At 41.8% G+C, this 14,363-nt stretch overlaps 1 pseudogene across 1 annotated transcript in view, besides 1 other annotated feature; it reads right to left on the reverse strand.

Annotated features, from left to right (window-relative positions):
* The window catches only part of SMG1P5 (SMG1 pseudogene 5), a 50,357-nt pseudogene that overhangs the window by 34,967 nt on the left and 1,027 nt on the right, over positions 1–14,363 (reverse strand). The gene's annotated exons all lie outside the window — the stretch shown is intronic.
* Positions 5,066–5,115: a silencer, noted in NCBI's record as "silent region_7361". NCBI's record gives its function as "represses an Ori minimal core promoter by ATAC-STARR-seq in GM12878 lymphoblastoid cells {active_cell/tissue: GM12878}" and the evidence as "EXISTENCE:reporter gene assay evidence [ECO:0000049][PMID:35858748]".

Genomic DNA, 14,363 nt, shown 5'->3' on the forward strand with positions numbered 1-14,363 from the left:
TTCCAACTGTGTAGTAAAAGGTAAGCAAGCTATAAGCTACCTTTTAACCTACCCTTTCTCTATATACATTCCATTTACATTGTACTTGCCCTCCAATCTATGCAAACAGTCACAAAGATTAGATTATGTTTGCTGGCTTATCATTTCAACTAGTAACAAATTCTTAAGGTGTGAATACAAGATATGGAGAAAAAATGATGATGCAGAGCTATGCTGAAATTTCTTATCGTTCAACTTGAAATAGGTTTACAGCCTAATGGGACTATACTAGAAAGTGTAGAAAGAGGGCAGGCACGGTGGCTCACACCTGTAATCCCAGCACTTTGGGAGACAGAGGTGAATGGATCACAAGGTCAGGAGTTCAAGACCAGCCTGGCCAACAAGGTGAAACCCCGCCTCTACTAAAAATACAAAAAAAAAATTAGCTGGGTGCGGTGGCACATGCCTGTAATCCCATCTACTCAGGAGGCTGAGGCAGGATAATCGCTTGAACCCGGGTGGCGGAGGTTGCAGTGAGCTGAGATCGCACCATTGCACTCCAGCCTGGGGGACAGAGCGAGACTCCGTCTCAAAAAAAAAAAAAAAAAGGAAAAAAGAAAAAAAGAAAATGTAGAAAGAGAGCCACTCCACTGCAGAGCAATTAATTCTATCTCCACTAATATTTTTCTAAATATTCACTGGAACAGTTTTAAAAATAATTTCCTGAACTTTAACCCTCCCAACGTCTTCAAAAGGCAAAAATTACCCCCTCAGAGGGACACAGCTGGTAGTGCCAATACAGAAGATCTTTGTCTTCCCATTCTTAGTCCATAGCTTTTTTCATGACACCAGCCTCTCCTAAGATAAATATCTGTGAAGGATCAACTTTTTAAAATACACACATTCTAGCTGGGCACGGTGGCTCACATCTGTAATCCCAGAACTTTGGGAGGCTGAGGCGGACGTATCACCTGAGGTCAGGAGTTTGAGACCAGCCTGGTCAACACGGTGAAACCCGTCTCTACTAAAAATACAAAAATTAGCCAGGCGTGGTGGCATGCACCTGTAATCCCAGCTACATGGGAGGCTGAGGCAGGAGAATCGCTTGAACCCGGGAGGTGGAGATTGCAGTGAGCCAAGATGGTGCCAACTGCACTCCAGCCTGGGCAACAGAGCAAGACGCCGTCTCAAAAAAAAAAAAAAAAAATACATTCTTAAAAATAAAGACACTTAGAGAGGAATCTAAAACACACTGGTTCTATTTTTATGCTAAGACAGCAGGTGGATTTTTTTTTTTTTTTGGAAAAAGAAAAGGGAACAAATTTCACATAGGAGAAGAGTTTTTGAAATCTTTGCACAACAGGGTGGCCATAGTAAATAATGATGTATTTATTTGCAAAGAGAAGACACAGATAACAATAGCAATAATAATAATGTATTTCAAACAATTAAGAGTAAATTTCAAATGCCTCACCACAAAATATAAGTAAGCAAAGTAAGGCGATAGTATGTTAATTAGCATGATTTAATCATACTACATTACACACATATATATAAACATTACGTTGTACCCTATGTGTACAATTATGATTTCTGAATTAATATTAGAGTGGGGAGAACAATGATTAATTTTTACTTCTTCAGTAAGATTACAATGAAAATGTAGAGAGCACTAGCATTATAGTAACTATACGATAGGCCACTTTAAATAAAAGGCATCTTTTACAAAATTTTTAGTCAATAAATTGATTACCACATACTTACGACCTATTTGCTATTAAGTGTAATTTATAATTCTAGTATTTTCAAAAAAGGAACATATTAAAATCCTATCAATATTTCAAATAATGACAGAATTAATCATTTTTAATAGAATCCTTACTCAGGTCCTTCAAAAACAATATAAACTATGACTTAAGGTAGATTCCTTTAAATCTGACTAATGAATAAATGTTAAATCTCAAATTTCATAGTCCCAGTGCTGGAAAACCTATATTTTTATTTTTCTTCACGTTTATACAAAGAACGTACAGACAGGCAAGAAATGTAATCAACCTTTTTAGGAAAGAATCCCAGGATTTGCTTTCTTTTCAATTAAATATATATGAATTCTGGGGGATACTGGTGATCATCTCTGGATCTTTTTACTCATCTAATGAGAAAAGAGTCTCATTATACAAAGAGGATAGTCAAAAAGCCTAATGATTTCCTCACATAAGTAGATTTTTCTGTCTGGCAAATCTGAAGAAGTCAACATAGAATCTGTCATTAATGCATTGAATCTGAACTTCCACTATTCAAATCAAATTAGGACCTGGAAATAAAGTGTTAACACTTCAGACAAGAAATTCCAGGGTTTGTATCATCAGGAATATAAACCAGGGACACTCTCAAGAGGCTGAAGAGCAAGAGTCATGCACTGCTTCAGAGAATTAAATACTCCAAGATGAAAGTTAAAATTTCAAACACACATATCACACATACACATCTTTTAACATCAGGTTGAAATGCTAAAGGGAACAGAGTAAAGGTATGTTTTCAATTAATAAATTTAAATGAGAGAAAACTTTAAATTCAAAGAGCTTCAGTAAAAAAAAAAAAAATATTAGCAATGTTATCAAATGTGGACGAAAAGCTAATATATGTCACTATGTAATCCAAGACATATTCATTAGTGGCGCCTTTTTTCTGGGCTATTAATATATTAGATGCCATCCAAAAACAAATATCTAGTAAATATTAAGTTTAACGACTTCTTAAAAACCTGTAGGTTCCCAAAGACATATACATGTATGTGCAGTGAGGCCACTGCTAAGCCTCTAACAATATTCTTGTAGACTACTAAAGTTCTCTATGATGATAAAAAGCGTGATAAAAAAAATCTAGTGTCTCCCCTTAATAAACAAAGAACGAGCATAACTTAGGAAGTTCGGTAACAAAAACAATCTATAATTCTGGTACCAGAAATCCCTCTGAGGCTGGGCGAGGTGGCTTACACCTGTAATCCCAGCACTTTGGGAAGCCAAGGCAGGGGGGATCACCTGAGGTCCGAAGATGAAGAACATCCTGGCTAACAGGGTGAAACCCTGTCTCTACTAAAAATACAAAAAATTAGCCAGGCGAGTGGCACATGCCTGTAATCCCAGCTACTCAGGAGGCCAAGGCAGGAGAATCACTTGAACCCAGGAGGTAGAGGTTGCGTGAGCCTAGATCGTGCCCTTGCACTCCAGCCTGGGCAACAAGAGCAAAACTCCATCTCAAAAAAAAAAAAAAAAAGCAACAAGTCCCTCTGAAAAAAGTTTTAAATAATAAACAAAAAAGTCTATAACAGGTTTTTAAATAACTATAAAGTCCTACACATATTATATGAATGCCAACATAATAATATGAATATGAATATCAACAGGGTATCCAAATCCTTTTTTGAAAAGGTCTGAAAATTAATATGAAAGAAGTAATTCAGTATGTTCAGAAATCTGTTGATTCTAGGCCAGGTATGGTAGCTCACACCTGTTATCCCAGCACTTTGGGATTTACAAAATGGCATTTCCTCCTCACCTAAGGTCAGGAGTTCAAGACCAGCCTGGCCAAGATGGTGAAACCCCATCTCTACTAAAAACTACAAAAATTAGCCAGGCGTGGTGGCAGTCGCCTGTAATCCCAGCTACTCAGGAGGCTGAGGTAGGAGAATCACTTGAACCCGGGCGGCAGAGTTTGCAGTGAGCCAAGATCTCACCACTGCACTCCAGCCTGGGTGACAAATAAAATAAAATAAAGAAATCTGTTGATTCTGGAATATTTGCGTTTCATTCCCCAATCAGCAGGCATGCAATTGGCAAGAAGTGTGTTTCCCCAGGCATTCTAATGGGATGCCAGAAGGCTCAACCCAGTGCTTAAATTTTTAGTGATTACATTGCTTAAATAATGTAGACAGATACAATAGACTCAAAATAAATCAATGTGTAAAAAGACTTTAAATATGTGCACAAGGTATTTTTCAAGATGGATAAAACATATGAATCTTAAATTACCATATTCTTTTATTTTTTATTTTTTCTGAGACAGAGGTTTTCCTCTTGCTGCCCAGGCTGGAGTGCAACAGCATCATCTCCACTCACTGCAACCTCCGCCTCCCAAGTTCAAGCAATTCTCCTGCCTCAGCCTCCTGAATAGCTGGGACTACAGGCGTGTGCCACCATGCCCAGCTAATTTTTGTATATTTTTTAGTCGAGATGGGGTTTCACCATGTTGGCCAGGATGGTCTTGATCCCTTGACCTCATGATCCGCCCACCTCGGCCTCCCAAAGTGCTGAGATTACAGGTATGAGCCACTGCGCGTGGCCAAATTACCGTATTCTTTCTTCTGTAGAAAGATCTGGCCACTCCAGTCCATTACGATACTGTCCTTTTGAGCCTGCTCAATCAGTTTGTTTAAGCCCTGCCTCAGGCCAACAAGGCTGCCATAAGAGGAATGCTTTCCCCAAAAAAACATCCTACAAGAACAGTGTTGCAATCTCTGGAGTTAACACTTAATATAAAAACACAAACTTGCAGGATCTCATTTTCATGTATTTACTTGAGGAAAGACACAAATATAGAGTGGATGCTATTTATTGATGCACTTAGTAGGAAAGAAGGGGATAGCAAAAGTAACAATTTTACCAGATCCATGCACATATGCAGGTTGTATTTTACTGGAGATGGCACACATAAAAATTCCAGATAGTGGTAAGGATATGAAAAAAAGTGGCAGGAATGGGTGTGATAGTGAAAAAGTCACTGCATATCTGTACCTTGACTGAGGTCATGGTTACACAGGTGTATACATTTGTCAAAATTTACTGAATTTAAGACCTATACAGGCCGGGCGTGGTGGCTCACGCCTGTAATCCCAGCACTTTGGGAGGCCGAGGCGGATGGGTCACCTGAGGTCAGGAGTTCCAGACCAGCCTGGCCAACATGGTGAAACCCCATCTCTACTAAAAGTGCAAAAACTAGCCAGGCGTGGTGGCAGGCATCTGTAATCACAGCTACTTGGGGCGCTGAGGCAAGAGAATCACTTGAACCCGGGAGGCGGAGGTTGCGGTGAGTCGTGATCGCACCATTGCACTCCAGTCTGGGGGATAAGAGCGAGACTTCATCTCAAAAGAAAAAAAGAAAAAAAGAAAAAACACCACCACCTATACATACATAAATTTTATCTCAAAGAAGCACCACAATAGAATTCAAAAACGAATTCAATTTAAAAAGGAAAAGTACACTCGATTAATACAAGATGGAAAAGAATAACATTATAAAACCAAGTATCTCTGCATGAGCGAACTCCACAAGAATTTAGTAAGTTATACTCTACATTAAAAAAAAAACAAAAAACAAAAACTCAGAATAAGGGAGCATTTCCTATACATATGAAACCACAAAATTTCTGTACTCTTTACTGTTAGGCCTCTATACAAGGGGAAGTATGTTTCATTTTATAGTTCCAAAAATAAAATGGGCTCTGAAAAACTTCAAGATAGTCAAAGACAGGTAACCAAAATGATGACAATGTGAAAAGATTAACAAACAACAGCTCCTCTAAATCATTAAGGGTGGTCCAATGAAAGGAGCCTCAGGGATTTGTTTTAGGCGATTAGGATAAGGAACAAGAGCCAGGTAACAAAGGCAGAAAATCCTAAAGAATTTAACAATTCAATGTTCCCAACAGACACCATGGACCACACTCCATTTTATATGACACTTAAATGACATTCCATACATGTGTCTAACATGAAGATTGAGCAGATAAAAGGTATCACTTTAGTAATCATCCTCAATCAACACCAGATAACAAATGAGGGGCTTTTGCTTATGGAAATTCTCACATATTGAGCTGAACACTTTTACCTTAATTAATTAATTAATTTATTTATTTATTATTATTTTTTTTTTTTTTTTGAGACGGAGTCTCGCTCTGTCGCCCAGGCTGGAGTGCAGTGGCGGGATCTCGGCTCACTGCAAGCTCCGCCTCCCGGGTTCACGCCATTCTCCTGCCTCAGCCTCCCAAGTAGCTGGGACGACAGGCGCCCGCCACTACGCCCGGCTAATTTTTTTGTATTTTTAGTAGAGACGGGGTTTCACCGTTTTAGCCGGGATGGTCTCGATCTCCTGACCTCGTGATCCGCCCGCCTCGGCCTCCCAAAGTGCTGGGATTACAGGCGTGAGCCACCGCGCCCGGCCAATTAATTTATTTTTTGAGACAGAGTTTCGCTCCTGCTGCCCAGGCTGGAGTGCAATGGCTCGATCTCGGCTCACCACAACCTCCGTCTCCCGGATTCACGTGATTCTCCTGCCTCAGCCTCCCAAGTAGCTGGGATTACAGGCATATGCCACCACGCCCGGCTAATTTTTGTATTTTTAGTAGACACGGGGTTTCTCCACGTTGGTCAGGCTGGTCTCTCCCAACCTCAGGTGATCCACCCACCTTGGCCTCCCAAAGTGCTGGGATTACAGGTGTGAGCCACCATACACAGCCTTATCTTAATTTAAATTGTTAAATATAAACATAATACTCAGGTCCTTAGCAGCCCCTTCTCTATATTGTTCCAATTAACTGCCTCCCACTGCGATCTCTCCTGCACGTGTGTGCACGCACTCTAACACACACACTCCTTTTTTTTTTTTTAGACGGAGTCTTGCTCTTGTTGCCCAGGCTGGAGTGCAACGGCGCAATCTCAGCTCACCACAACCTCGGCCTCCGAGGTTCCAGCAATTCTCCTGCCTCAGCCTCCCGAGTAGCTGGGAATACAGGCATGCACCACCACACTCGGCTAATTTTGTATTTTTAGTAGAGACGGGGTTTCTCCATGTTGGTCAGGCTAGTCTCGAACTCCCGACCTCAGGAGATCCACCCACCTCAGCCTCCCAAACTGCTGGGATTACAGGCATGAGCCACCACGGCCAGCCCACACACTTTTTCAAGAAGCAACTAGATTTAATCTTCCTAAATTGTGCCACTTTCCGGCAGGTAAAATTTCAATGATTCCCTAAAGTCACTCCAAATACACTTAAACTGGGCCAGGGTGGTGGCTCACGCCTGTAATCCCAGCACTTTGGGAGGCCGAGATGGGTGGATCACCTGAGGTCATGAGTTCAAGACAAGCCTGACCAACATGGTGAAACCCCGTCTCTAGTAAATACAAAAAATTAGCCAGGTGTGGTGGTGCGTGCCTGTAATCCCTAGAGCTACTTGGGAGGCTGAGGAAGGAGAACTGCTTGAACCCGGGAGGCGGAGGTTGCAGTGAGCCAAAATGGCACCATTGTGCTCCAGCCTGGGCAACAAGAGCAAAAACTCTGTCTCCAAAAACAAACAAACAAACAAACAAACAAAAAAACACCTGAACTATGATTAAAGGTCTACAATAGGGTCCCCAACCCAGTGCTTCAGCTTCACCTCTTATTTGTATTACTCCTCATAAGTACCCAATTCCTCTACACACTGACAATTTGCACCTGGCCTTATCCTAATTTTCTTCTATTTTGGGGGGGATTCTCCCCCAAATTCACAGTGAAAATTGTACAGACCAATTCCATCACCCCATTTCCCTCCTCTAACCCTCCAGGTTTTTGTTTTTGTTTTTGAGACAGTCTCACTCTGTCACCCAAATTGGAGTGCAATGGCATGATCTTGGCTCACTGCAACCTCCACCTCCTGGGTTCAAGCGATTCTCCTGCCTCAGTCTCCCAAGTAGCTGGGATTACAGGCGCCCACCACTGCATCCAGCTAATTTTTGTATTTTTAGTAGAGACGGGGTTTCACCATGTTGGCCTGTAACCCCAGCACTTTGGGAGGTCAAGGCGGGCAGATCACCTGAGGTTAGGAGTTTAAGACCAGACTGGCCAACCTGGCGAAACCCTGTCAATCATGCCACTGCACTCCAGCCTAAGTGACAGAGCAAGACTGTCTCAAAAAAAAAAGAAAGAAAGGAAGGAAGGAAGGTATACTGAGAATTACATCACAAAATCCACATGCTCTCCCCTTTACAAAGCCCTTTACTTTTCTCCCATAATAACTTATAGCCTCCTTGAAGACAGTGGTTTTACAAGTCATAAAAATCCTGGCCATGGCCCAGTGCAGTAGCTTGTGCCTGTAATCCCAGCACTTTGGGAGGCCAAGACAGGCAGATCACTTGAGGTCAGAAGTTCGAGACCAGCCTGGTCGACATGGTGAAACCCCGTCTCTACTAAAAATACAAAAATTACCCAGGAGTAGTGGGCACATGCCTGTAATCCCAGCTACTCGGGAGGCTGAGGCAGGAGAATCGCTTGAACCCAGGAGGCCGAGGTTGCAGTGAGCCAAGATTGCACCAGTGCATTTCAGCCTGGGCAACAAAGCGAGACCCCATCTCAAAAAAAAAAAATTTATGGCCGGGCGCAGTGGCTCATGCCTGTAATCCCAGCACTTTGGGAGGCCGAGGCGGGCAGATCACGAGGTCAGGAGATCAAGACCATCCTGGCTAATATGGTGAAACCCCATCTCTACTAAAAATACAAAAAATTAGCCAGGCGTGGTGGCGGGCACCTGCAATCCCAGCTACTCGGGAGGCTGAGGCAGGAGAATGGCGTGAACCCAGGAGGTGGAGCTGGCAGTGAGCCGAGATTGCACCACTGCACTCTAGCCTGGGCGACAGAGCGACACTCCATCTCAAAAAAAAAAAAAAAAAAAAATTTATATATATATACATACACACACACACACACACACACACACACACACACACATCTCCCTAGAAGCATCAATATTTACTGAATTAGAGTATTTCATTACCTGTTATAAAAAACAAACAAAAAAACCCTCCATTATACTAATTTATAAAGGAATCAAAACAAAATGGGTTGGGGGGTCCAGGCACGGTGTCTCACTCCTGTAATCCCAGCACTTTGAGAAGCCAAGGTGGGAACTTGAGGTCAGGAGTTCGAGACCAGCCTGGCCAACATGGCGAAACCCTGTCTCTAATACAAAAATTAGCCGGGCTTGGTGACATGCGCCTGTAGTCCCAGCTACTCGGGAGGCAGAGGCACATGAATCACTTGAACCCAGGAGGTGGAGGTTGTACTGAGCCAAGATCGTGCCACTGCACTCCAGCCTGGGAGACAGAGTGAAACTATGTCTTTAAAAAAAAGGCGGGGTGCAGTGGCACACACCTGTAATCCCAGCACTTTAGGAGGCCGAGGCAGGTGGATCACCTGAGGTCAGGAGTTCATGACCAGCCTAACACGGTGAAACCCCGTCTCTACTAAATATAAAAAAAATTAGCCAGGTGTGGTGGCACATGCCTGTAATCTGATCTACTTGGGAGGCTGAGACAGGAAAACAGCTTGTACCTGGGAGGCGGAGGATGCAGTGAGCCAAGATTGCACCATTGCACTCCAGCCTGGACAACAAGAGTAAAACTCCGTCTCAAAAAAAAAAAAAAAAAAAAAAAAAGTTGGAGTGAGGGGAAGGTTCAACTTAAAGATACAATTACTAAGTGTTTCATAAGGAATGACTTATTTCATAATGGAGTAGGAGTTTGACACCAGCATGGGCAACATGGGGAGGCCCCACGTCTACAAAAAAATAAAAATAAAAAATTAGCGTGCCAAGCATGGTGGGTCACACCTGTAATCCTGGCTCTTTAGGAGGCCAAGGAGGAAGGATCACTTGAGCCTAGGTATTCAAGACCAGCCCAGGCAGCATGGCAAAACCCCGTCTCTACAGAAAACAAAAAAAAGTAGCTGGGGGTGGTGACATGCACCTGTGGTCCCAGCTATTGGGAGGGTGAGGTAGGAGGACTTATTGAGCCTGGGAGGTGGAGGCTGCAGTGAGCTGAGATGGTTCCACTGCACTCCAACCTGGGCAATGAAGTGAGACTCTGTTTCAGAAAAAGAGAGAGGCGGCCAGGCGTGGTGGCTCACGCCTGGAATCCCAGCACTTTGGGAGGCCGAAGCGGGTGGATCACCTGAGGTCAGCAGTTCAAGACCAGCCTGGCCAACATGGTGAAATCCTATCTCCACTAAAAACACAAAAATTAGCCGGGCATAGTGGCATGCACCTGTATTCCCAGCTACTTGGGAGGCTGAGACAGGAGAATCACTTGAACCAGGAGGTGGAGGTTGCAAGTGAGCTGAGATTGTGCCACTATACTCCAGCCTGGGCGACAAAGTAAAACTCTGTCTCAAAAAAAAAAAGAGAGAGAGAGAGAGGAAAAATAAATAAATTAGTCAGGTGTGGTGGTATGCACCTGTGGTCCCAGCTACTCAGGAGGCTAAGGCGGGAGGATTCCCAGAGCCCAGGAAGTCAAGGCTGCAGTGAGCAGTGACTGCACCACTGCACTCCAGCCTGGGCAACAGAGCAAGAGCATATCTCAAAAAAGAGGAAAGAAAAGAAAAGAAAAACATAAAAACAAACGTTCCTTTAGTTTTAATTTTTATTTTTTAGTTTATTATGGCTGTTTTACTCTCCTCCAAGTAAAACTGCCATACACAATTTGCTGAAATTTTCCTTAGTGTACTTTGAAATCTGTGGAACAGAACTGGCAATCGCTAAATTCTATTTGACTCTAGTTCCATTTAAAATTAGACTGGTGTGAAGTAACTGCGGTTTTTGCCAAAACTGCAATTACTTTTGCACCCACCTAATACGTATAAAATATGTAACTTCACTTAATTTTATCCTTTATGTATTTCCCTATATTATGTACCTATGGACATCAAACTTACTACAGACTGATAAAAGGCTGAATAGACAACTCTGGTTTCAAAAATCCAGCTTCTCACAACATCAGACATACTAGTATACAGCTTTTCTAATTTCACAACATATTTCCATTTTTTGGTCTTTCACAATAGAGAAGATGTGTATACTTTTGAATACTCTGCTCTGTCTACAATCTACCAAAATTGGAAGGTGTTTTTATTATACAGTTTCATCCTTTTAGAAATACAGAAAGATCCTAAGTTTGGGCACAGTAAGACACTCAATACAGATCTACTACTAAACAAGTAAGACCAATTACACAATTAATGTCCTAATACCCCGAGTGGAAAAGTAAAATCTACTTGTTTTCTGTTGACTTGAATGCCTTCTCTTTTGTTGAATTAATCAATCTATTTGACTCCAATGTCAAATTAATCAATGTCACTTTAGAATATTAAAATGTACAATTATGAATTACACATTTAATTTTAAAACACATCATTCTGATCTCTGTCTTGATTGATACTAGAAGATTATCTTCCAAACTAAGGTGGAAAAAATGACAGACTTTAGCTATTGGCAATGATAGGTCATTTTTTTAGGGAAGAGGAGTAAAGAGGGCAACCTCCATAGGTCAGATATCCCTTTGTTCTAAGAAGCCACCACCCCTGTTTCTTCATATGAAAAAACCCAGAGGCATCCAGTGGTTCCCAAAACCTTCTCAACTTTATGCCTGAGGAACCCACAGATTTCAAATAATACAACTGACCTAAGACCACTCATTTGTTTAACCATTCTTTTTTTAATTTTTTATTTTTATTTTTTTGAGAAGGAGTCTTGCTCTGTTGCCCAGGCTGGAGTGCAGTGGTGTGATGTCGCTCACTACAACCTCCGCCTCTCAGGTTCAAGTGATTCTCCTGCCTCAGCCTCCCGAGTAACTGGGATTACAGGCATGCACCACCACATCCCGCTAATTTATTTATTTATTTTTTTTAGTAGAGACGGGGTTTCACCATGTCGGTTGGCCAGGCTGGTCTTGAACTCGTGACCTCAGGTGATCCACCCACCTCAGCCTCCCAAAGTGCTGGGATTACAGGCGTGAGCCACTGCCCCCGGCCTATTAACCATTCTTAAATGTCGGGTGCGGTGGCTCACACCTGTAATCTCAACACTTTGGGAGGCTGAAGGTGGGCAGATTGCTTGAGTTCAGGGGTTCAAGACCAGCCTGGGCAACGTGGTGAAAACCCCATCTCTACAAAAAATACAAAAATGAGCCAGGCTGTTGGCAAGCGCCTGTAGCCCCAGCTACTTGTGGATGCTGAGGCAGGAGGCTTGAGCCTGGGAGGTCGAGACTGCAGTAAGCCAAGTATCTGTGCCGCTGCACTCCAGCCTGGGTGACACAGCAAGACCCTGTCTCAAAAAAATTGACAGAAGAGTTGACTGAGAGCACAGTGAATGAAAAGGAAGACTATAAGCCAGTGCCATATAAATGCTTACTGTTGGAGGTATGCTTCTATGGAACACGGGTTTGCTCTCTTGCCATATGACATTCACGTATTCAGCCACCTGGAACACTTCTTGTCAGTATGTGTGAAGTATCATGTGTGGTCAAAATTGACTCAACAGTCATTTTCCACACCAACTGGCAAACTAACACTAAAAGAAATCAACAAGTATTGCTTTTTCAAAAGCCTAAATCGGCTGAGTGCGGTGACTTACACCTGTAATCCCAGCACTTTGGGAGGCCAAAGCAGGCGGATCACCTGAGTCAGGAGTCCAAGAACAGGCCGGCCAACATGGTGGAATCCCGTCTCTACTAAAAATACAAAAATTAGCTGGACGCCTGTAATCCCAGCTACTCAGGAGGCTGAGGCAGGAGAATTTTTCCCTGTAACCAGGAGGCAGAGGCTGCAGTGAGTCGAGATTACACCACTGCACTCCAGCCTGGGAGACAGAGCAAGACTCCATCTCAGGAAGACAAAAAAAAAAAAAGCCTACATCAAGGAAAACAGAACCAAAACACCAGGGACAAAATGGTACATAAGAGGCAAAAAAATTTTCACCAAAATTATTCAGATGAACCATAATAAATGTGCCTGCATCTGAAGATGTTCTAAACCTTCATTTAAGTAAGAAGCAAGATCAAGATCCATTCCGTCAGTTACCTGGAGTCTGTCATCTTTCGGAATAGGGGACGGAATCACCTCAAATTTAACTAATAAAAATTTATGACTTGGCAAACACCCCAGGTATTTTTATTGACTAACAAATCAGCTATGACAATCTTAGCAACAAATCAAGTTATGCTATGGGGTATGTCCACACTTCCCTGTTCCCTCTACAACAGGAGAAAATCAAATCTTTCCAACATCCTAACAAACTGTTACTCCCTGTAACCAAATGTATCACAGTATCGTCTACCAAGGCGTTACATCCTGAAACTTTCCTACAAAAAGCACAGCTTCAAAGAAACCTTGCAAGCTTTCTTGTAAGCTCCTCCCTTCCCACATCGCCCCTCCCCAGAGCCGAGAAATAAAGCACTTGAAAGAAACAACATGGATAATATTTATTAATAGCTCATGTACATATTCCATAACTACATAAGCCATTTGGCTTCATACCTGTCAGCAATGAAGTCAGCTGGCCCTAGCACGTGGCTGCGACTCTTCTCTATTTATTTAGAACTATAAACTACAATTTACACTTTACAAAAGCTGTAGGACTATTTGGGAAGGCACTTTATTCTTCTAAAAGGTTACTAAATTCTCTTATATACTTATACTGATCACAATACTGAAAAATAATAGAAAATCCATTGTCATTCATTTACCACCTGATTTGTTAGATGCCAGATAATCAAATTTCACACATTTCAATAAAAAGGCAAAACTAAGCATGTCAATCATAGGAAGAAAAATACTTAACTAATTTTATTTAAAGCACTCACAAACTCTTAAGTGGTACAAGACAAGCCAACGCTGTTTATCGAACAATATTTTTTTTTACGACTAAACATCTCAATTCTAGACTCAGGCACTAATTATTAAAGTCATCTAGTTATATACACCAATTCTCAACAGACACAGTTTTTTTTGGAAAGGCATATTAAACAGACTAAGATGTGTACTACCCATTAGCCAAAGATAATTTTATTGATTTTTCTAATGAGTCTTCAAATGTTACATTCTAACATCTTAGCAAATTATTTCCAAATACTGCTGGAATTACATGTAACTATCAGGAAACAAAAGGGCTTCTCAACAACTTGTGCGTTCTACATTATCTGGCCAGTTTCCGGACAATTATAATACAATTGTGCTCCAAAGCAGGAGAGTTCCATGAATCAATTGCCCCTAAAATATATTTCTGTATATTTAAGGAGTTCTAAGCATTGGGTTAAATTCCAAACAGACTCTGAATACAAGCATTTATTTAGTAAGAGAGGTTAGAATAAATCAATCCTAAATTAGGCACAGCTACCCTCCCCCCATTGATCAAAAAGATAGGAAATTACATTTATTTAAAAAGTTAATGTTCCTAATATATTCAAATCTAACTAAGCCCCAAAACGGTCTGAGATCAAATCCTCCATAAAAGAGGAAATTCTCTAGACTTCTAAGTGGGTGCCCAAAGAGTTCACTCAAGTGTCCAGGTATGAATTACGATT

The sequence above is a fragment of the Homo sapiens genome, chromosome 16, assembly GCF_000001405.40.
Source record: "Homo sapiens chromosome 16, GRCh38.p14 Primary Assembly".
NCBI classification, from domain to species: Eukaryota; Metazoa; Chordata; class Mammalia; order Primates; family Hominidae; genus Homo; species Homo sapiens.